Source organism: Homo sapiens, chromosome X, assembly GCF_000001405.40.
Source record: "Homo sapiens chromosome X, GRCh38.p14 Primary Assembly".
NCBI lineage: Eukaryota > Metazoa > Chordata > Mammalia > Primates > Hominidae > Homo > Homo sapiens.
Window position 1 is genome coordinate 8,919,565 of NC_000023.11, and position 24,807 is coordinate 8,944,371.

The following is a 24,807-nucleotide window of genomic DNA, read 5'->3' on the forward strand; positions in this document are numbered from 1 at the left end:
TTATGAAAACTAAGATATTCTGAATGTTTCTATAACTTCTAGTCTTCATAAATGGATGAGATCATCAATTCTTGGAAATAAGTTTCAATCAATGATATGAAATATATTTATGAGTTGTTATTTTCCCCCATTGGGACAGAAAAATATTTTTCTCTTGACTCTGACACTTACCATATATAAATATCTAAATGATAAGAAAAACTAAATGCTCTTTTTCCTGGAGACTGTTTAACATCATGGCCTCCACTTTTTTTTTTTATCTTGGTAAACAGAATCTTATTCTTAGCTACTAATAACATTAATCAATTTATTAATCATTTATTTAAATGTCTTTTGTGACATTTAAATAAATGCATTTCTTCACAGACGCAAGGACAATATACATGATCTTTAGCGACGGGCTATTTCCCACAGGATATTCCTATTATTGTACTGCTATTACGTAATCATTGATTCAGTGAAGCAAACTGCTCAGGATATCAAATTATCTTGATGGCAGAATAAAAAGAGAAAAGCTTATGAAATTCAAAGATTGCTTTCAAGGACCACTTCCTACTTTATTTTGAGAGATTACTTATATGGCTTATACTCATACTTGGAGTTCAGATTTAACATTAATAACATTTTCATATGAGAAAGCAATTTTTTACATGTATGTATGATACACAATTCAAATAACACATTACAGAAAAAATAAAAATAGGATTAAATTTACTTTCTTAAAACTAGGTGCGTTGGTTGAAACTAAATGTCAACTGGACTGGATTGAAAGATGCAAAGTATTGATCCCGGGTGTGTCTGTGAGAGTGTTGCCAAAGGAGATTAACATTTGAGTCAGTGGGCTGGGGAAAGCAGACCCACCATTAATTTGGTGGGCATAATCTAATCAGCTGTCAGCACGGCTAGAATATAAAGCAGGCAGAAAAACGTGAAAAGACTAGACTAGCCTAGCCTCCCCAGCCTACCCTGCGCTGGATGCTTCCTGTCCTGGAACATCGGACCCCAAGCTTTTCAGTTTTGGGACTTGGACTGGCTCTCCTTGCTCCTCAGCTTGCAGATGGCCTATTGTGGGACCTTGTGATCATGTGAGTTAAACTTAATACATTCATATATATAATATATATATATAAAATATATATATACATATAAAATATATATATACATATATATAATATATATACACACACACACACACACACATATATATATATATCTCCTATTAGTTCTGTCCCTCTAGAGAACCCTGACTAATACACTAGGTTTGTGTATATTCAAATGTCTAAAATTAAAAAATGACTGTTTTTATTTACCTCCATATCTGTTTATTGTATATTTTGGTGGTTTGATACATAATCATTTTTATCTTATCGAGATCAAATGGCCAATTCATTATCAAAATCTAAGAATAGTAACTGAATGCAAATTTTTTATGAATTCTACTATATCATAAGCACTGCTGAGCAGGAAAAATACAAATATGATACAGCACAAAAATAATCTCATAATAAACTCAAGAGTAACCTGAATGTCTTAAGATTTTATGCAGATAAATGTAATGTACAGTCAGCCCTCCATATGAGCAGATTCTACATCCAAGGATTCAATCAACCATGGATCAAAAATATTCAGAAAAAATTGCTTCTGTACTGAACATGTACAGCCTCTTTTTTCCTTGTTATTATTCCCTAAACAATGCAGTATAACAATTATGTACATGGCATTTGCATTGTGTTAGGTATTCTAAGTAGTCTAGAGATGATTTAAAGTATACAGGAGGATGTGCATAAATTATATGGGAATACTACACCATTTTATTTCAGGAACTTAAGCATCCACAGACTTTGGTATCCACAAGAGGTCCTGGAACCAATCCTGCATGGATACTGGACCGTATTTTCACAAAGTATATTTTATAATGAAAATAAGTATGCAAGAATGCAAAGCTTTTGCAATCTTTAGATAACACAAAAATGAGTCAAGATAAAACAGTTGCTTCCCAATTTAGGTTTTCCATTCTTGCCTTTTGTTTTAGATCAAGGGGTCAGCACAGGACTACTAACCTTGAGCTAAATCTGCCCCACCACTTGTTTTGTAAATAAAGTTTTATTGGAACACAACCATGCCCATTAGTTCATGAATTGAGACCATCTGACTCATAACGCCTAAAACATTTGCTACCTGGCCCTTTACAAAAAAGCTTTTTGTATCTCTGTTATAGCCCATGAATAAACAAACACATAGTAAAGTTACTGCCATGTTTGCCATTGCTACATTATCAAGTGGTATTTGGAATAGTCTCCTATCCTAGCTGGGCTATCTTGGGGATTTTCCCCATATCCCTTAAAGGATGAACCTTGTCATAAAGCCATGGTTTTTCTCTTGCTGGGGTCTGGAAGGTGCGGTTTTCCCTGCCAAGGAGCTGGTTACAACAGCTTCCAAATGATATTATAATTTCAGTACTCACTTTTTGTAAAATGATCTGCACAAATATTCCCTTTGTTCCAAGTTTGGATAAACAGTGATTCACACTTTTGTTGACAAAATGAGAACTTTGATTAGAATCAATAATATCAAATAGCTGCCATCAAGTAAAAATGCTTCCAACAAACCCTTTGTAGCAGGGTTGTGTAAATGGATATGGTCTTGATTTCTTAGGGAATGGATGGGTGCATAATAAAAAGCATTGATTTTTCAGGGTTTTTTTTCCCCAGATACTGGTAGCCTGCAATTGATTTAGAGTACCATTAGTGTTGTTACGGTTCTAAGCATTTTTTAATTGCCATTGTTATTTCTCCTATAACCCATGAGCTGTTGAGGAGTACATTTTTAAATTCCCAGACACATGGGGTTTTATTAAGTTTTTTTTTATTGTTTGTTTCCAGTTTATTGCCTTGTGATCATTCTCTATATCAGGGGTATAAATTTATGTATGCATAATGTATCACTCTTCATAATATCATTGCTTAAGTCTTCTGTCTACTTTCTAATACTCTATTATCTTGATCTACTGATTTCTGATTAAAGGATGTTAAAATCTTGAAACTGATGATGAACGTGTCCATTTCTCTTAGTAATTCTGTTCATTTTCCTTTCTGGAGTTCAAGGTGTGTACAATTTCATATTGTTTTATTTTCTTGGTAAACTTGCCGTTTTGTGTATATTAGATACCCTTTGTTTTACTAAAAATAATTTGTGCATTAAATTCTATATTGTGGGATATTAGTATTACTAACCTCTCTTTTTATTAGTATTCTGCTTGACTTTCTTTTAGCTGTGTCATTTTATGTGGATTTTTAGTAGCTAAATCCATTCACACTGATGGTAGTTACTAATATATTGGGACTTTTTTCACCATTTTATTTTGTGTGGTCTATATTACCATTGTTTTTCTTCCTTTTATTTTTTTCTCTCTTTATTTGTAATTTTTAAATTTTTTTCATTTCCTCTGGATTTTGGCTATGTATCATGTTTCTATACTTGTAATGGTTACTTTAATTGTTATATATACTAATATTAATTTGCCTAATAAAATCTGAAGTTATCTGGAAATTGTATTCTTGATAAAAACACTGCATTCCTGTCTTGTTATTGTTGCCTAAATTTTTTTATTTAAAATTTTTAATACAAAAATGCTATTGTTACGTTCACTATTTAGATAAATTGATTGGTATTATTTCATCCCCTTCTGTGTACACTAATGTTTCTTGAATTCCACTCAACTCTTCTCTCTTTCCTTGTCCCTTATCTTCTTGATGAAGAACACCTTTGAATATTTATTTAAGTAGTAGTTTTATAGTCTGTTTATATGAACTCTGTGTCTGAAAAAATGTCCTTATTTTATGTTATCTGTTGCATGTTAGGTTGGCAATTGCTTTCCTTCTAACCTGGATTGCTATAAATGAGAAGCCCACCATTAGTTGAATTGTCATCCCCCGGTAGGTAATCCAGTGTTTCTCTGTGGTATCTTAAGAATTTATCTTCATTCTCAATGGTTTGCAGCCAACTATTATACGCCATGGAGTGGATTTATATTTATCTTTTCAAATCATAGAGTGTACTTTTGATACAAAGATTTCAATTCTGAATCATGTTGAATATTATTTTTCTGAAAAAATACATTGGCCATGATCTTTTCAAATGTTGTTTATTTACAACTCCATCCATTCTCTAGCCACTTATCTTTTATGAAACTCCTATTAAAGTAATGTGATAGTGTCTCACTCTGGCCCCCAAATCTCACAGTTCCTCTTTTATATTTTTATATTTCTTTTTAAATCACTTTTAAAAAAGAATTATTCTGTTTGTTTGAATGTTGTACCAATGTATTCAAAGAACATTCTTTAAAAAGTTTTCTACAGAAGAACTTTTATAATAATAAAATCATAGTTTCAACAAAAGCAATCTGCCATGTGAGTTGATATTAAAAGATGATGTGATGAACTACACAGAGCTGGCATGGATATAAAGAAAGAACTGGAGAAAAATAAGGAAAATCTCTGGCTTGATAGAATTTCAAGGGTAGAATTTCCAGCCCTCAGTGGAGGAAGTCAGATAGTTCCATTTTCCTGAGAAATTGACACTGTGGAAGATCAAGTTGGTGACATGAAGAAAAATGGTTCTCTCCCATGATGTGAAGCAAAGAACAGGGGGTAAACCTCAATGGGTGAATATGAGTAAGAGGACAGAGTCCCAACATGAGAATTACAAACGCTTCCTTCACCAGAGTCAAGTCAAGGGCAAGAATAATTGGAGCAAATGCAGTCATTAACTGGAGACTGATTGATGAATGGCAAACTAGAATGTACAACTTGAATTCAGAGGTCAAAAAGCCTGTCATTGTCGAGATAAAATTAAGGAAGTGCGGGAGTGCTAACAACATGTCTGAATTATAGGAATAAAAAATATCTACTGGCATCCAAGCAAATACATGCGTTTGTGTACTAAGAAATAAATACCAAGCTAATTACAGACTTTTCCACCAAAAAGTAAATTCCCAAGGATAAAGAGTAAACATATTCAAATTTTGGAGGGAAAAAATGTTAATATTATAAACCTTGAATTTTATAATCAAGGTTTCATTCAAATGTAGTGGCAAAATAAACTTGTTCTCATGCATGTGTGCATTCAAACACCATCCAGAAGAAGCTCTTTGTAAACATTTCTTGAAGATGGACTCCAACTGCTGGAAGTGAGAATCGAAATTAAAGCACTCAATAATGCAAGAGTCCTTGTCTAACTTAGCCACGTAATAACCAAGAAACCACACACTAGATTTTTTAATGTTTTGCAAGCAATATAAGGAAAATATGAGGAAAAAATAATAGCAAAATGTCTTTATACATGGAGGCAAAGTTGGCAATGCAGATGTTAATTGTCACAGAAATATAACAGCAAGGCACCTCAGAGTCCTTGGAGATATTCTTTTTCATATATATTCACTTCTTAAGTGACCTCCTCCATTATCCACAACTTTATATACAATAAACAGTTAACCCTTGAATAACACAAGGGTTAGGAACACCGACTCCTTGGGTAGTCGAAAAATCCAAATATAACTTGACTCCCCCAAAACTTGACTACTGATAGCCTACTGTTGAGTGGAAGCCTTACCAATAACAAAAACAGCCAATTAACACACATTTTGTATGTTTTACATATTATATATGTTGTGTTCTTATAACAAAGTAAGCTAGAGAAAAGAAAATGTCATAAAGAAAAAATCATAAGGAAGAAAAGACATACTTACTATTCATTAAGTGGAAGTGGATTATCACAAAACTCTTCATCCTCCTTGTCTTCATGTTGAGTAGGCTGAAGAGGAAGAGGAAGGGTTGGTTTTGCTGTCTCAGGAGTCGCAGAGGCAGAAGAAAATCCACGTATAAGTGGACTCACACAGTTCCAATTCTTATTGTTCAAGGGTCAACTGTGTAGTATGATGATATGTCCTCAGCCTCAAGTTCTCGCCTAATCATCAGACATCTCTTATTTTCTCTGGATGCCTACAAAGCTCAAACTTGAAATGAACAAACAGACCCTTGATTCTAAGAGCCTCCAAACCGGCTCCCCTCCCTGGTCCCCCCAGAATGAAGGAACAGCACTACTATTCACCTGATTGCCTGAGACCCTATTCCAGGTGTCATCTTCAATTTTTCACTTTCCATCATCTCCATGTATAAGGTGAAGTCCCGTGTGCTCAAAAACATTCCAAAATTTTCAGGAATTTTGGCTGCATAAGCAAGAAGAGAGATTACGTAGGAGCTGGAAGGCGACGTGGCATCAACAAATGGATTTTTGCTGGTTTGGTTTTTGGTGGTGGTGATGGTGGGATTTTTTGTTTGTTTGTTTTTAGTTTTTAGAGACAAGGCCTCTCACTGACAGCCAGGCTGGAGTGCAGTAGTGTAATCATAAGTCACTGCAGCCTCGAACTCCTGGACTCAAGCAGTCCTCCCACCTCAGCTTCCCAAGTAGCTGGAACCACAGGCATGAGCCACCATGCCCAGCTAGGTTTGTTTTTAAAGAGAGGGAAAACTTGACCTCGTTTCAAAGGAGCAAGTAGATTAGAAAAAGCAGAAAGTACAGGAGAAGTTGGAGAAATCACTTAAGCATGAATCCACAGAAGACAAGGAAGAGGAAATGAAGTCCAGTGCGTCGAGGTCAGGGTTAGTCTTGCAAGTGAAAGGGAGCTGGTGGGTGGAAGAATTTATTCTGTTAGAAGGTATGATAGGAAGGAAACAACAGGTGTAGATCCTTATATCTATAGTTTTGCAGCAGGAAGTTGATTGCATTTCCTTCCATTTTGAAGATTGTGGGATGACCTGCTTCAAACTGGTAGAAATTGGATGGTGGGCCAGGTAGGGAGAGGGGAGAGATATGAGAAACAGGAAGAAGGCAGAAGCCCATAGAGATTAGGAGAAAGTGATCATGGAAACAGGAACGGTGTATATGGAACTCTGCATGCCCTCCAGAGAGTGGAAATCAATAATCTATAATGGAATCCAAATGCATGATTTTATAACATTCTACAGAAGGCTCCTCTCCCCAAGACACAGGCTTGTATTAAATGGGGGCATCCAGGACTGAAGTACTGTTGCCAAGCAGGTTGGACAGAAGAACAAATGTGAAAAATATTGATAAAATATTTGAAGAGATGGAACATATAATCTAAGCCCAATAGGGAAGGATGTAGAACCATAAATAAATTGATAAATAAGAAAAAAAAACAGTGTCCCCAAGACATCAGTAACCATTCCTTCTCAGTAAATGGCAACTACATCAGAAATTTCCAAAGTCTATCTATATTAGCTCCCTAGGGTTGCTATAACAACCACACTCACCTTTTCTCTGGCAAGCTTGCATCTTGTTACACTTGGAAAACTGCAAATGTCTTGGACATCATCCACACTCCTAACTCCACATTTTGACCAGGAGGATCTTTGAAAATGCAAACTCGATGTTATCTATGCCCAGCTGATACTGCTCAATGGCTTTTCATTGTTGTAAGAGTGAGAACAGAGAGATTTTAGATGGAAAATTGATTCTAAGCAAGGCTACAGCCATGTCAAAGCACTATCAGCCTCTCAGAAGGTGCCATGTTTCCTTTAGACTTGGTGGCTTCCCATGTACTGTCTCCTCTCTATGAAACGCCCCTCTCCCTGTTTCAGTTGGGCCTCCCTTTGGGATCTCAGATTAGACATTTCTTCTCCTTTGTCTTTCTCAGACTCCTCCCTCCTCCTCCCTCCATCACCCTTAACTGGGTTAATTTCTCTTCTACTTGCTCCTATAACCCCTGGGATTTACCCAAGTGGTACGCTCCATTAGGGTATTGTGTCATCATTTCTTGTTTATGATCAGGGTCTCCCATAACGAAACGCAAATCTTTTAAGGACTGTAACTTTGTCTCTCTTATGGATATATGAGTGTTGGCCATGCCCAGACTGTGCTTAGCACATCATTAAACCCCACTAAATATTTGTTGAATGGTTTACTGGCTTCTGTTCATTCGGAATAGCCTTGCTACTCCCTGGGCATTTATCACCTACATACAAAACTATACCTGTGAGACTTTGTAGCTCCATAGTATGTTTCACAATAAACATTTGATTGACTGAAACATTCCTCCTTCTTTTCTTTCTTCCTTTCTCCCTCTCTCTCTCCTCCCGCCACTGCTGTCTCCCTCTCTCTCTCTCCCTCTTTCTTTTATTTATTTAAATTTTTTTTGGCTGCATGTAAAGTCTGTATATAGAGCAACAACTGTTGTCTCCCGCTGCAGACCCCGCAGCGCTCTCCCTGGTGGCGGAGACTCCACACAGCCTTCTGTGCCAGCCGTCAGAGGTCTAATGTTAGTGATTTATTTTCTCCTTTCCTTTTCTACAGAGAGTGGCACAAATCCAGGGAGAATTCCAGCTTTAAAAAAAGAAAAGTCTCAGCCTTTTTGAATCTTACTTGGCTCTGAAACAAATTATAAATGTTACCAGCATTTAAGAAAAACATCACTTCATCTCACTAGACATTTGAACACGATTATAGGAAAGCAAATTTAAAATATAAGCACTATTTGAAAACTTTTCTCCTACTTGCTCAAATCAGAAAGTCAGTAGATCTGGGAGGAATGAGTAGTCTGCTGCGATTGAAGAAAGTTTTGAACCGATGACAGCATTCAGGCACCAGCATCCTCCAACTGCCGTTGTAGGAAGCAGGACCTCCAGGGGGCATGGTCACCGCTCTCAGGTCAGTCGCATGAGGAGGCCATTATACAAAAATTGAGAGGAGTCCTGGAAGAAAGATACCCCACTCTCTCACGTCTTCACAAATTAACCACTGAAAAACTCTTCAAAACCCACCCATCACTTCAAAAAGCATTAGGGAGGAGGGACGCCATGCAAGACAGAGCTTACATAACCAGCATCTGATTAGATGTGTGGAATAAGAAATGAAGAAACAGGGAATCAACTCCAAGCAAACATTTCTTCTTCCTCTGATTCAAACGTATTGATGTTTAGTTTTTCAGATGTGTGCAGTATAAAGTCGTGGTGATATACACATCTGTACATCTCAAGGAAAACAATAAATTCTCAAAATAAATTGCAAGAGATACTTTTCTCTCTTAAATTTTCAATAATTTATCAAATAATTCACAAGACTATGAATTTGTGTTAAAGTGAGTATAAATGTTCTAAGCCCTAAGCAGTAGAGGTAAAAGAAGTTGCTTTCAAATATCTTTATTTTATTTTATTTTTAATTTCAATAGGTTTTTAGGGAGCAGGTGATGTTTGGTTACATGAAGAAGTTCTTTAGTGGTGATTTCTGAGATTTGGGTGCACCCATCACTCACTAGTGTACACTGTACCCGATGTGTAGCCTTTAATCCCTTGCCACCACCCCACCATTTACCCCGAGTCCCCAAAGTCCAATGTGTCACTCTTATGCCTTTGCGTTCTCATAGCTCCCACTTATGAGAGAAAACGTGCAATGTTTGGTTTTCCATTTCTGGGTTACTTCACTTAGAGTAATAGCCTCTCATTCCATCCAGGTTGCTGCAAATGTCATTATTTCATTCCTTTTTATGGCTGAGTAGTATTCCATGGTATATATGTACACCACATTTTCTTTATCCACTTGTTGATTGATGGGCATTTGGGCCCAGCAATCCCACTACTAGTTATCTACCCAGAGGAAAAGAAGTCATTATATGAAAAAGATACTTGCGGCAACAGAGCGAGACTCCATCTCAAAAAAAAAAAGAAGAAAGAAAAAGATACTTGCACATGGATGTTTATAGCAGCACACTTTGCAATTGCAAAAATATGGAACCAGGTCAAATATCTTATTACATGTTTTTAATGTAAAAGAGAAAAGGCTAACTGAAACAATGGTAACATCAACAGAGAAGGGAGATTAGGGGATTGGCTGATAAGAAAATGCTAAAAAGCTTTAATGCCATGTTAAGTAACACTTTCTCTAATTGTAATTTCTCCTACACAGAAATTGCAAACCTGTGTTCTACCATGTCCAACTTGAGTCACCCCTTCTGTTTTTTTGTTTTGTTTTGTTTCTGTTTTTTAGAAGGAGTCTCACTCTGTCACAAGGCCAGAGTGCAGTGGTGCGATCTGGGCGCACTGCAATCTCCGCCTCCCAGGTTCAAGTGATTCTCCTGACTCAGTCTCCTGAGCAGCTGGGACTACAGGAGCATGCCACCACGCTCAGCTAATTTTCTTTTCTTTCCTTTCTTTTTTTTTTTTTTTTTTTTTTGAGACAGAGTCTCGCCTTGTTGCCCAGGCTGGAGTGCAATGGTGCAATCTCAGCTCACTGCAACCTCTGCCTCCCAAGTTCAAGCGATTCTCCTGCCTCAGCCTCCCGAGTAGCTGAGATTACAGGTGAGCACCACCACACCCAGCTAATTTTTTGTATCTTTGGTGGAGACGGTGTTTCACCATGTTGGCCAGGTTAGTCTCGAACTCCTGACCTCATGATCCACCCGCCTCGGCCTCCAAAACTGCTGGGATTACAGACGTGAGCCACCGCACCCTGCCAATTTTTGTATTTTTAGTAGAGACAGGGTTTCACTATGTTGGCCAGGATGGTCTCCATCTCTTGACCTCGAGATCTGCCTGCCTGCCTTGGCCTCCCAAAGTGCTGGGACTACAGACGTTAGCCACCGCGCCTGGCCGAGTCACCCCTTCTAACTTAGCAAACTGAACCCAGGGCCCTGGAGAAGGAGATACAGAACTTCTCTCTTCCCCCACTCAGGCCTTTGACAAACACCAGCCCTTCCACTTACCCCTGGTATCAGAGCCATTGGCCAATTTACACAGAAATTATTAATAGCCCCAAATATCAGAAAGGTAACCACAAAAAGTCCTTTTCTAAGTGAAACGCATTTGGAACCTCCCATCAAATGAGGATGGCTTGTTGGCAGATGACAACACCAAGAGCCCCTTTGAGGGGACGGTTCATCCAGGCTGGTGTTCTGTACTCATTATAGGACGTAAAGAGTGATAGGGAAGAGCTGGATTTGACAAAGCCAGTGGCCAAGCACAGGGGTTCCCCTGAGCAGCCACCTTGGGGACAATGATTGGGCAAGTGGGGATGAGGTAAAAGGCTATAAGTTGGAGACCTAAAACTGTGGATTGGAACCTCTTCCCTGAGCCCAGACAGTGATCCGTCTTCCTGCAGAGACACTGAGGAAAGGTCACCTGCGTTAACCAGCAAAAGCGCATCAGGTGCACTGGTGCCAGGTCTCGGCAGCAACCCCATGAGGAAGCAACAGCAGCCCAAAGGTTTCTACAGCCTTGGGTCTGTGAAGCATTCAGAAAAATGACTGAAATCTATGGCTTCTCCCTGAAACCTAGCATGTCATTATCTACTCGGAAGGATATGCTGTAAGCATCCTCTGTGCACATGTGAATGCCATCAGTCCAGGGAATTTACAGCCTCACCTGTTCAGTTTTCCTTTTTTGGCTATCTGGTCACTCTCAACAAAAATAATAGCAAAAATGGTTGAGATGCCATTACCAAATGGCACCTATTTTCATTAATAGACAAAATCCTTTGGAAGCCACTTAATGTTTGTCTGCAAATATTAGCTCTGCCACCCTGGCTTAAGATGCTTGAGAAGGCTGAGCTGTGCTAACACAATTAATTTGCTGAGTATATACATCCTCATCAGCAGGAGAAAGGTAAGTCCCAGGCCAGCCAGAGATTGCATTAAAAATTTCCAATGAGTGGGTTTTACAGCAATGAGTATTGAACATGGTCAATTGCTTTTTTCTCTTCCAATGCCACTGATGTTAACTAATTCATAGTCAATGTGCTATTCCCTGTGCCCCTGTTGACAATACAACCCTTGTGTAATCCCTTAACATAATGAGATTACTGCCTTGTTAGGAAATGGAGCAGTTTGCAGTTGAGTTTCTGGGTCTGGCCACAGTTAGGAGGCTGGGAAAGTTGTAGGACACAGTCATGTATGAATGCTTTCTCTCCTGCTCAAGGCTCTGTCCATGATATCATGTAAAGTTGGGGTCTCCCTACCTCTGGTTCCTCCCATCCTCTTTAATGTCTCCCCTAAATGTTTGTTATCTCTACTATCAAATTTGCACTTCGAGTCTTTGTCTTTGTGCAGAGGTCTATGTGCTGTTCTGTGGCCTAGAACATAACAATTTCTACATGTTGAGAGTTTACTCCTCCCATAATTCCATCTCTAAAGCCACGACCTCCATGCAAGCTTTTCTGATACCCTGAATCCCAGGATTCTTTACATGGCCTTCTAATGATATTTATAAACTTCTCTTTTGCTATGTATTTGTTTTTTGTATTGAAATTCCATTTCTCCAATTCCATTTAAGAGCAGAGAATGAATCTTCTTTGTGATTCTAAATTCACTTTTTTTTAGTTCTGATTCATATGGTTTTTAATTACAATGTAATTTTTAAACTATTTGGGCTGTTGAGCCCTACAAGGAAGTCTTTTGAATTATTATCTTTAGAAAATGGACATACTATTTAGAAGTTTTTCTGTTTTCTGTCCAAATGATAACTAGTTCTAAGTAATGGCAGTTCTTAATGCTGTATATATACATATATTTTTGGTGGGGGTGTTGAAAATTTTTTTTTTAATTCTTATACTTTAAGTTCTGGGATACATGTGCAAAACATGCAGGTTTGTCACATAGGTATACACGTGCCATGGTGGTTTGCTGCACCCACCAACCCATCATCTACATTAGGTATTTCTCCTAATGCTATCCCTCCCCTAACCCCCAACCCCCCTACAGGCCCCAGTGTGTGATGTTCCCCTCCCTGTGTCCATGTGTTCTCACTGTTCACCTCCTACTTACGAGTGACAACATGCGGTGTTTGGCTTTCTGTTCCTGTGTAGTTTGCTGAGAATGATTGTTTCCAGCTTCATCCATGTCCCTGCAAAGGATATGAACCCATCCTTTTTTATGGCTGCATAATATTCTGTGGCATATCTGTGCCACATTTTCTTTATCCAGTCTATCATTGATGGGCATTTGGGTTAGTTCCAAGTCTTTGCTGTTGCAAATAGTGCTGCAATAAACATATGTGTGCTTGCGTCCTTATAGTAGAACGATTTATAATCCTTTGGGTATATATCCAGTAATGGGATTGCTGGATCAAATGGTATTTCTGGTTCTAGACTTTGAGGAATCACCAGACTGTCTTCCACAATGGTTGAACTAATTTACACTCCCACCAACAGTGTAAAAGCATTCCTATTTCTCCACATCCTCTCCAGCATCTGTTGTTTCCTGACTTTTTAATGATCACCATTCTAACTAGCTAGAGATGGTACCTCGTTGTGGTTTTGATTTGCATTTCTCTAATGACTGGTGATGACGAGCTTTTTTTTCATATGTTTGTTTGCCACATAAATGTCTTTTTTTGAATAGTGTCTGTTCATATCCTTTGCCCATTTTTGATGGGGTTGTTTGTTTTTTCTTGTAAATTTGTTTAAGTTTCTTGTAGATTCTGGATATTACCCCTTTGTCAGATGGGTAGATTGCAAAAATTTTCTCCCATTCTCTAGGTTGCCTGTTCACTCTCATGATAGTTTCTTTTGCTGTGCAGAAGCTCTTTAGTGTAATTAGATCGCATTTTATCAATTTTGGCTTTTGCTGCCATTGCTTTTGGTGTTTTAGTATTGAAGTCTTTGCCCATGCCTATGTCCTGAATGGTAATGCCTAGGTTTTCTTCTAGGGTTTTTATGGTTTTAGGTCTTATGTTTAAGCCATTAAAACATCTTGAGTTAATTTTTGTGTAAGGTGCGAAGAAGGGGTCCAGTTTCAGTTTTCTGCATGTGGCTAGCCAGTTTTCCCAACACCATTTATTAAATAGGGAATCCTTTCCCCATTGCTTGTTTTTGTCACGTTTGTCAAAGATCTGATGGCTGTAGATGTTTGGCATTATTTCTGAGGCCTCTGTTTTGTTCCATTGGTCTATATATCTGTTTTGGTACCAGTATCACGCTGTTTTGATTGCCGTAGCCTTGTAGTATAGTTTGAAGTCAGGTAGCTTGATACCTCCAGCTTTGCTCTTTTTGCTTAGGATTGTCTTAGCTATACAGGCTCTTTTTTGGTTCCATATGAAATTTAAAGTAGTTTTTTCTAATTCTGTGAAGAAAGTCAATGGTAGCTTGATGAGGATAGTGTTGAATCTATCAATTACTTTGGGCAATATGGCCATTTTCATGATATTGATTCTTCCTATCCATGAGCACGGAATGTTTTTCCATTTGTTTGTGTCCTCTCTTATTTCCTTGAGCAGTGGTTTGTAGTTCCCCTTGAAGAGGTCCTTCACATCCCATTTAAGTTGTATCCCTAGGTATTTTATTCTCATTGTAGGAATTGTGAATAGGATTTCACTCATGATTTGGCTCCCTGTTTGTCTATTATTGGTGTATAGGAATGCTTGTGATTTTTGCACATGGATTTTGTATCCTGAGACTTTGCTGAATTTGCTTATCAGCTTAAGGAGATTTTGGGCTGAGACGATGGTGTTTTCTAAATATACAATCATGTCATCTGCAGAAACAATTTGACTTCCTCTCTTCCTATTTGAATACCCTTTATTTCTTTCTTTTGCCTGATTGCCCTGGCCAGAATTTCCAATACTAAGTTTAATAGGAGTGGTGAGAGAGGGCATTCTTGTCTTGTGCTGGTTTTCAAAGGGAATGCTTCCATTTTCGCCCATTCAGTATGATATTGGCTGTGGGTTTGTCATAAATAGCTCTTATTATTTTGAGATACATTCCATCAATACCTAGTTTATTAAGAGTTTTTAGCATAAAGGGGTGTTGAATTTTATCGAAGGCCTTTTCTGCATCTATTGAAATAATCATGTGGTTTTTGTCATTGGTTCTGTTTATGTGATGGATTACATTTATTGATTTGCATATGTTGAATCAGCCTTGCATCCTAGGGATGAAGCTGACTTGATCATGGTGGATAAGCTTTTTGATGTGCTGCTGGATTCCGTTTGCCAGTATTTAATTGAGGATTTTCGCATCAATGTTCATCAGGGATATTGGCCTGAAATTTTCTTTTTTTGTTGTGTCTCTACCAGGTTTTGTTATCAGGATGATGCTGGCCTCATAAAATGAATTAGGGAGGGGTCCCTCTTTTTCTATTGTTTGAAATAGTTTCAGAAGGAATGGTACCAGCTCCTCTTTATACCTCTGGTAGAATTCGGCTGTGAATCCATCTGGTCCTGGGCTTTTTTTGGTTGGTAGGCTATTAATTACTGCCTCAATTTCAGAACTTGTTATTGGCTTATTCAGGGATTCAAATTCTTCCTGGCTGAGACTTGGCAGGGTGTATGTGTCCAGGAATTTATCCGTTTCTTCTAGATTTTCTAGTTTATTTGCATAGAGGAGTTTATAGTATTCTCTTATGGTAGTTTGTATTTCTGTGGGATCAGTGGTGATAGCCCCTTTATCATTTTTTATTGTGTCTGTTTTATTCTTCTCTCTTTTCTCCTTTATTATTCTGGCTAGCAGTCTATCTATTTTGTTTATCTTTTCAAAAAACCAGCTCCCAGATTCATTTATTTTTTGAAGGGTTTCTCGTGTCTCTATACCCTTCAGTTCTACTCTGATCTTAGTTATTTCTTGTCTTCTGCTAGGTTTTGAATTTGTTTGTTCTTGCTTCTCCAGTTCTTAATTGTGATGTTAGGGTGTCAATTTTAGATCTTTTCCGCTTTCTCCTGTGGGCATTTAGTGCTATAAATTTCCCTCTCAACACTGCATTAGCTGTGTCCCAGAGATTCTGGTACATTGTGTCTTTGTTCTCATTGGTTTCAAAGAACTTATTTAATTTTGCCTTAATTTCATTATTTACCCAGTAGTCGTTCAGGAGCATATTGTTCAGTTTCCATGTAGCCGTGTGGTTTTGAGTGAGTTTCTTAATCCTGAGTTCTAATTTGATCGTCCTGTGGTTTGAGAAACTGTTATGATTTCGGTTCTTTTGCATTTGCTGAGGTGTTTTACTTCCAATTATGTGGTCAGTTTTAGAATAAGTGCGATGTGGTGCTGAGAAGAATGCATATTCTGTTGATTTGGGGTGGAGAGTTCTGTAGATGTCTGTTAGGTTTGCTTGGTCCAGAGCTGAGTTCAAGTCCTTAATATCCTCATTCATTTTCTGTCCATTGATCTGTCTAATATTGACAGTGGGGTGTTAAAGTCTCCCACTATTGTGTGGGAATCTAAGTCTCTTTGTAGGTCTCTAAGAACTTGCTTTATGAATCTGGCTGCTCCTGTATTGAGTGCATGTATATTTAGGATAGTTAGCTCTTCTTGTTGCATTGATCCCTTTACCATTACATAATGCACTTCTTTGTCCTTTTTGATCTTTGTTGGTTTAAAGTCTGTTTTTATCAGAGACTCAGATTGCAAACCCTGCTGTTTTTTGCTTTCCATTTGCTTGATAAATATTCCTCCATCCCTTTATTTCGAGCCTATGTGTTTCTTTGCACGTGAGATGGGTCTCCTGAATACAGCACACCAATGGGTCTTGACTTTTTATTTTTTTTTCTCTAATCTTGTCTTCTCACTTTATTTCATTAAGTTGATCTTCAATCTCTGATATCCTTTCTTCCACTTGATCAATTCGACTATTAATACTTGTGAATGCTTCACAAAGTTCTTATGTTGTGCTTTTCAGCTCCATCAAGTCATTTATGTTCCTCTCTAAACTGGTTATTCTAGTTTGTAATTCATCTAACCTTTTTCCAAGGTTCTTAGCTTCCTTGCATAGGGTTGGAACATGCTCCTTTAGCTTGGAGGAGTTTGTTATTACCCACCTCCTGAAGCCTACTTCTGTCAATTCATCAAACTCATTCTCTGTCCAATTTTGTTCCCTTGCTGGTGAGTTGTGATCCTTTGGAGGAGAGGAGGTGTTCTGGTTTTTGGAATTTTCAGTCTTTTTTTTTTTTTTTTTTTGCGCTGGATTCTCCCCATCTTTGTGGATTTATCTACCTTTGGTCTTTGATGTTGGTGACCTTCGGATGGGGTCTCTGAGTGGATGTGCTCTTCCTTTCTGTTTGTTAGTTTTCCTTCTAACAGTCAGGCCCCTCTTCTGCAGGTCTGCTGGAGTTTGCTAGAGGTCCACTCCAGATCCTGTTTGCCAGATCCTGCAGCGGAGGCTGCAGAACAGCAAAGATTGCTGCCTGTTCCTTCCTCTGCAAACTTCATCCCAGAGGGGCACCTGCCAGATGCCAGCTGGAGCTCTCCTGTATGAGGTGTCTTTTGACACCTGCTGGGAGGTGTCTCCCCATCAGGAGGCATGGGGGTCAGGGATCCACTTGAGGAGGCAGTCTGTCCCTTAGCAGAGCTTAAGCACTGTGCTGGGAGATCTGCTACTCTCTTCAGAGCTGGCAGGCAGGAACGTTTCAGTCTGCTGAAGCTGCGTCCACTGCCACCCCTTCTACCAGGTGCTCTGTCCCAGGGAGATGGGAGTTTTATCTATAAGCCCCGGAAAGGGGCTGCTGCCTTTCTTTCAGAGATGCCCTGCCCAGAGAGGAGGACTCTAGAGAGGCAGTCTGGCTACAGCAGCTTTGCCAAGCTGTGGTGGGCTCCGTCCAGTTTGAACTTCCCAGTGGCTTTGTTTACACTGTGAGGGGAAAACCACCTACTCAAGCCTCAGTAATGACAGATGCCCCTCCTCCCACCAAGCTGGAGCATCCCAGGTCTACTTCAGACTGCTATACTGGTAGTGAGAATTTCAAACCAGTGGATCATTGCTTGCTGGCCTCCATGGGGGTGGGATCTACTGAGCTAGACCACTTGGCTCCCTGGCTTCAGCCCCCTTTCCAGGGGAGTGAACAGTTCTGTCTCACTGGCGTTCCAGGCACCACTGAGGTATGAAAAAAACTCCTGCAGCTAGCTCGGTGTCTGCCCAAATGGCTGCCCAGTTTTGTGCTTGAAACCCAGGGCCCTGGTGGTGTAGGCCTCCAAGAGAATCTCCTGGTCTACAGGTTGCGAAGACCATGGGAAAAGCATACTATCTGGGTCAGAATGCACTGTTTCTCACAGCACAGTCCCTCATGGCTTGTCTTGGCTAGGGGAGGGAGTTCCCCAACTCTTTGTTGCTTCCTGGGTGAGGTGATGCCCCACCCTGCTTCAGCTCACCCTCCATGGGCTGCGCCCACTGTCTAACCAGTCCCAATGAGATGAGCCGGGTACCTCAGTTGGAAATGCAGAAATCACTCACTTTCTGTGTTGATCTTGCTGGTAGCTGCAGACCGGAGCTGTTCCTATTTGGCCATCTTGCCAGCCACCAATTCTGAATTCATTTTTTCACTGACCTGTAACAGGCATTGAATCACAAAGCATTGATTGCATCCCTATTATTGGCTTGCCCAGCAAAAGCAGGAACACCTCCAAGGAATAGGATCTTTTTTTTATGTTCAATGGCAGGATTTGAGGTTCCCTACACAGAAATTGATGCCCCTCTTGCTGCACCAGAAGCTGGAAATTTTATGGATACAAATAATTTTCTTTTTCCATTGAGCATTGGCCTCTCCAAATGATGATTGTTTTGAGAAAGGTAAGGCACTGTGGTTTGCACATTTTGCTTATAAGAATTTTTTATGGGCCAGAAAGAGTTGTGGAATAGCAAGAAAGGATTGGCTACTTACTGAAGAAAGAGCAAAAAGGAATAGGTCAGAAGTGAAAATGGAAGGATCTAAAACTAAGTTAAGTAACTGATGTCATACTTTTCCTTGGCCTAGCTCTGCAGGTGACAATGGCTGTCTTAGAAAGTTACTTCTCTACTAGGCTGGTCATCTTTGCAAAAAATCTGATATTGTTGTGCCTTTTATTTGAATGTGAAGCCCCCAGTAACACATTTGATTTCAACTACTAGATTTTGTCATGGGTAGTGACTATCTGTGGCTGGTGGCATAGGTGGTAAAGGAATTTACCAAGATGGGTAAAGAAAGTCAGATTTATTAGAAAAAGTATGAAAATATGTTGCAAGGCAGCAAAGCAGAGAAGGCGCTGTCTGCAAAGAGACAGAGGCTGGAGGGAAGTTTCATAAGGTTGTGCTGGAGGGGGCTGTCTGCTGAACGAGGTCATTGTGCCCACAGAACAAGGTCATTGTGCCTGTGCAACCCTGTTCTTACTGTTCTTATGCCTGGGGAACAAGGTTGTTGTGCCTGCCGGTTATTTTTCAGAACAATTGTTCATTGCTCTTCCCCATCTGGGGCCTCATTGTTGCTTACTTATTTTATTAGGACTCCACAGATTTGTTCTTTCCATCCAAATTGGATTTCCAGATCCAAAATAAGTAGGCTGAGTATCCATCCATTACTAATTCTCCACATGATCATAATAATAATTAGAAAATGATGTAACTGCATGTTTTAGGTATGGGAAACAAATATGACAACCCAAACTGTACCTTAGGCCAAATTTTCAAAGAGCCCAGTGGACATACTTACAACAGGAAAATATAAAAGATACACACATACTGATGTGCCAAGGAAAAGACAAGAGCAGGCATAACTCAGGTAAGGGTGTGTGCAAATGTCTAGTGAAACACACCATTATCCAATGGGTTTGCACAGACAAGGAGCACGTTATGCTACTGTGGGTTTTTCCTGGCTGAGCAGATGCAAGCAGCATATCTTAAAATTTTCCACTATGTGTTTTTCCATTTGAGACAGGCGTCAATTTAATAGCTGTAACAAGAGATAGAAGCTTCTCAAAGTTCAGTGACTCACTCACTTTTGGACAATTAGGGCAAAAGAGAAATAATTCTATAAAACAATCTTTGGTGCATGCACAGCAGAAGCTAACCCATGTGTAACAGCACATAATTGGCTCCTTTTAAATTAATTAAATGTTACAGGGAAGCAAAACATAAGACCAGATTAAAAACCTTTTGATACCTCTAACTCCGATCATATTGAAGAAGCACAAGCGTCCCAGAAAGGGTGAGTCATCAATATGGGACAGGTGACAAATGTCTGGCAGCAGTCTTTCCTGCAAAGCTGGAGAATGAGTGCACCTGGCTTTGAGGATTACAGTTCCACTGGTAATTACTCTCTGACCACAGTGTCACTATCCTGTCCCTTTCTTTTCTCGCTTATCACATGGAAATAATAATTTGTGGAGAATTGTGAGGGAATTTGTGGAGTTTTAACAAATAAATAGACATAAATAAAAAGATCTTTGAAAACTAACACTAAAAATAAAACATCCTCATTGTTATTTATCCAAAATTCATTTTTGCACATTTTCATACTTCATTCCTGTTGCTGTAGCAAAATACCTTAGATGGGGTAATTTATATAAACAGAGGTCTATTGCTCACAGCTCTGGAAGCTGTGAAGTCCAAGATCAAGGCGCTGGCAGATTGAGTGTCTGGTGAGGGCTGCCCTCTGTTCCAAGATGGCACCTTCTTGCTGTGTCTTCAGTGGTGGAAAAGGCCCTTATAAGGGCATAATCCCTTCATGAGGGCAGTGCCTCCATGACCTAATCACATACTGAAGAGCCCACCTCTTAATACTGTCAGCTTGGGGTTTAGTTTCCAACTTATGAATTTTGGTGAGATGCACACATTCAAACTACAGCACATGTAACAGCTGCTCAACTAAAAGTTGATGCTTCTGTTGGGGATGCCATTGACTTCCTACTTGCTAAATGCAATGAATTCTTTGCAGCCCTCATCCATCTTTGCCTCTCTAGCTTTTTCATGGCTTTTTTAAGTCTTTCTCTACAAAACCTCTGTTCATTCAACTATTACTCTATCACTTTCTTCTAATTCAAATCCAAATTACAACTCCATGCTAACTTGCAATGAGTTGTCCTCCACTTGCTCTGAAAGACCACAGCTCTCCAGGAGTCCTAGTCCTGTCATCTTCATCTGCTCTCATGAGTTCCAATCATACCTATCTTTGTTCCTCCCTCCCACATCTCGATCTCCAGCCCCATCTTCTCCTCTAGACTCCAAACTATATTTCGGCACCTTCCTAGGTATCTCCATGTGGAGCTTCTTCCCTCATCATCTCCCTAAAACTACATGAGTCATTTCCCCAGCCCCTCACCAATAGGCACCCCTTGCCACCATCTTCATCCCTTGCTCTCCTCCAGTGGATCACAAGCCACACAAATTTTCCTTGGACGTATTTCTGGAATCGTTCACCTCGGCACATACAAGGAAGATCCTTTTTATACCCTCATGGAATCATTGCAAATAACCACTCTGCTGACTCCCATGACCTCTAGATTTTCTCTTTCCAGTCTACCCTCAATGTAGCTACAGATTGATCTTTGTAAAGCAGTCATCTGGTTGTGTCACTGCTTAACGTCTCACAGTGGCTCTGCTTTGCTCTCGGGAGAAGCCAAGCACTTGAACGTTATATGCCAGCTTGAGGGTGCTTCTCGGCCATGTCTCAAGGCAGAGAGTGTGAGGGGCCAAGAACCCCTGCTTTAGAATCCCTGTGTTTGCAGTGAAGTAATGCCTCCTGTGAGCAGCTCTCGCTGATGATTAGATTTAGTGGCAGCACTGACACAGACCCATTCTAGGAGACTTGGGATGTCTTCGTCTGCACACTTTGGTTCAAGGACTCCCAATAGCTTGACTGAAACTTCCTGAGAGTTCAAGGCAGTCTGGAATGTTTCCACTCGACTTTCTCTTTCTCCTCCATTCCAGGTCAGATTCTAGTGGGATCAGAACCCTCTGATGGCCTTCTCTGGCTCTTTCCCTTTTTCCTGTCACAAGAGTATTTATTTCCCCTAGTGAAATTCTTGAGAGTTTAATGTACAAATCACTCATCTTCTCTGAGCCCTTATCTCTTCTCTAAAATGCATCTACCACACATGTACAATTGTATTACTGAGCTTATACATGTAAGGAACCTACTGCCAAGTCTTGTATGGGATCGGTGCTCAATTTGTGTTATTTCCCTAGTCTCTAAGCCTGTGGTTATAAAGGTGTAAGATCTTCAATGCTAAAAGTCTATACCTTATGTGTTCAATGTGTTTTAAATCTGAGTCGATGTGTTTTGTCTTTTATTTTTAAACAAAGAGGGGAGGAACTGACATGAGAAAGACCACAGGAAAAACATTGTTCTAATCCAGTGTCAGAAGTGAAAAATGCTTCCACGTAGACTCTGCGTGTTGGCTTGAAAGTGACTCGCAATTGGCCCCTCGAGGTAGCAGGGCCACAATTTATCAGGACTCTAAGGCCATCAGGAAAAAAATCAAGGATAATCTTTGTTTCTTTTTCTATACTACATTGACTGATAAAGGTTATAGAGAAAGAATTATTTGTTAGCATGTTAGGAAATCATAAACACTTATAATAACTGCACACCATGGAGACAACTAAAAAATCAAAATCAAAATATAAAACAAGTAAATAATGCTGCTCCTGCTGGCCTTTCAGAAGAATAACAAAAAAGATATTTTGAATGCAAGAACAAAAACATAAATATTGTGCAAATGTCAATAAACTCTAGTCTCATATACTAAACAATGCTGATCTGTTTACCAATCACTGCTGTCACTAGTTTATTCCATTTTTCTTCTTCCTACTAAGAAGCATTTGACTCATCCCCCCAAAAATGAAACATTGTGCCAGATATGAGCCTGATGAGAAGAGAATTATGAAATTAAAGTAGTTCATTTTTGTATGTAAGATTTTCTTCCCAATTTGCGAATAGCTTGAAAAGAGCTGAGATATGTTTCAAGATCATGTTTAGATTACATGAATTTATGTGTTCTCTCACCTCCTTACAGTGGTCGTTACAAATTATGTAGTTGCAAAAAATTGTATGATATCAAAGAGTACAGCCATTTTAAAAGAAAATTAACATCTGTGAAACAAAGGAGAGAGAGGACACTGATTATTTGGGGATGTAAAGTATACAAGGTATAGAATTTGGTGTAAAATCATACTATTATTTTTAAATCTTCTTTTACTAAACAAGTCAAGTGTATTGTTTTGACCATATTGAAATGATATAGGCCAGGCGCACTGACTCATACCTGTAATCCCAGCATTTTGGGAGGCCAAGGCAGGAGGATTGCTTGAGCCCTGGAGTTGAAGACCAACCTGGTAAGCACAGGAAGACCCTATCTCTGCAAAAAAATTAAAAATTAACCAGGCATGGTGGTATGAACCTGTAGTCCTAGGTGCTTGGGAGGCTGAGGTGGGAGGGTTGGTTGAGCCCAGGAGGTCAAGGTTGCAGTGTACTATAGACCAAGGGTGAGAAAACTTTTTGTGTAAAAGGCTGGATAGTAAATATTTTGCGCTGCTCTTGTAGCACACAAGCAGCCATAGACTACACATACATGAATGAATGTGGCTACGTCCCAATAAAATTGTATTTACAAAAACATGTAGCAGGCCAAATTTGGTCCATTGGTGGTTGTTTGCCGACCCCTGCTACAGAATAGCATACATCTATGCTTCTCAAAACAGATACAACTATAGAAATGAGAAAAATAAACTAAAATGCATGTGCACAGCCTGAGGGAGCTAAGAAAAAGTCACTTTAAATAAAATTTAAGTTTAGCTGCATTTTTCATTAGCTACCAAAGACAGAAGCAATTTCCATTTGTCATAAAAGCTAACTTAAAATTCTAGACACCTGCTTGCCAGCAAGGTCCACCCACACGATGAGGAAATTCACAATATCTATATGCCAGCACTTTCTCTTCATCAGGGTTCACTGCTGCATTCTGCTATCCCATGCCTTTAAAAAGCCTGGCTTTTAAAACAGAAGTCCAAGACATAACTCTCAAGGGTATTAGCAGAATGGCTCTAACACAGAATTCTGAATTACCAGCAGCAAAAATGGCTGTTCAACTCCTTCAAACCATGGGATTGCTGTCCTAGTGGGTAGGAAAGCAAAAAGAAGGTTGTCTCCTCATTAAGGCAGAAAATCTTGAAGGAGAAGAGGGAAGAAAGGACATTAAGAGACTAATTGAAAACACTTGAAGATGGAAGCCAACAATGAGGTGGAAGAAAAAGTAAACATGATTCAACTTTCATTGAAGGAATCTCAACAAAGAAAGATGGAAACTTGCTTTGATCACTGAAGTTTTAAAATTGTACTAGTTACGTAATTTTCAATATCCTATTTGTAATGAACCAGTAATCTCCACTACTCACTTTTTGACGCCTGAGATTTGGCCTCTTACAAAGTTGGGCAGGGAGCAGACAATGCTTGGCTTTTGGTCAAGGTGCAAACTCTTTCAGGGCCAGAAACAAGATGGTACCAGGAGCGGAAGCAAGATGTCTCCCCAGCAAGCATTTGAGACTGAAGATCAGTCTCTTCTATCTTCCAAAATTCCACTGGGCAATCTCCTCTATGGATTTTTTAGATCTTCAAATTTTTTCATATATAAAATCGACTATTCTTTTGGTGTACAGTTCCATACATTTTAACACATATAGTATTTTTTTTTTTCAAGAGACAGGGTCTCGCTCTGTCACCCAGACTGACGTGCAGTGCTGCGATCCCAGTTCACTGCAGCCTTGACCTCCCAGGTTCAACCAATCCTCCTGCCTCAGCCTCTCAAGTAGCTAGGACTACGGGCACATGCCACCATGCCTGGCTAATGTATTATTTTTTGTAGAGATAGGGTCTCACTGTGTTGCCCAGGCTGGTCTTGAATTCCTGGCCACAAGCAATCCTCCTGCCTCAGCCTCCCAAAGTCCTAAGCTTACAGGAGTGAGCAACTACACCTGGCCTAAAGAGTCTTATAACCACCATCATAACCAGGATACAGAACAGTTCTATCACCCCTCAAAACTCTCTCATGCCATCATAGTCATCCCCC

The 24,807-nt window shown here is 39.5% G+C and overlaps 1 long non-coding RNA gene across 2 annotated transcripts; it reads right to left on the reverse strand.

Annotated features, from left to right (window-relative positions):
• Positions 1-4,128: 4,128 nt before the first annotated feature.
• Positions 4,129-7,647, reverse strand: LINC03114 (long intergenic non-protein coding RNA 3114). 2 transcript variants are annotated; one of them, XR_950506.3, is made up of 4 exons: positions 7,335-7,647; positions 6,109-6,226; positions 5,747-5,811; positions 4,129-5,182 (listed from the first exon to the last, which is right to left on the reverse strand). It is a non-coding gene; the product is annotated as a long intergenic non-protein coding RNA 3114 (long non-coding RNA). The 2 variants fall into 2 exon arrangements; XR_950505.3 differs by having other exon boundaries at positions 5,747-6,013.
• Between the last annotated feature and the right edge of the window lie 17,160 nt (positions 7,648-24,807).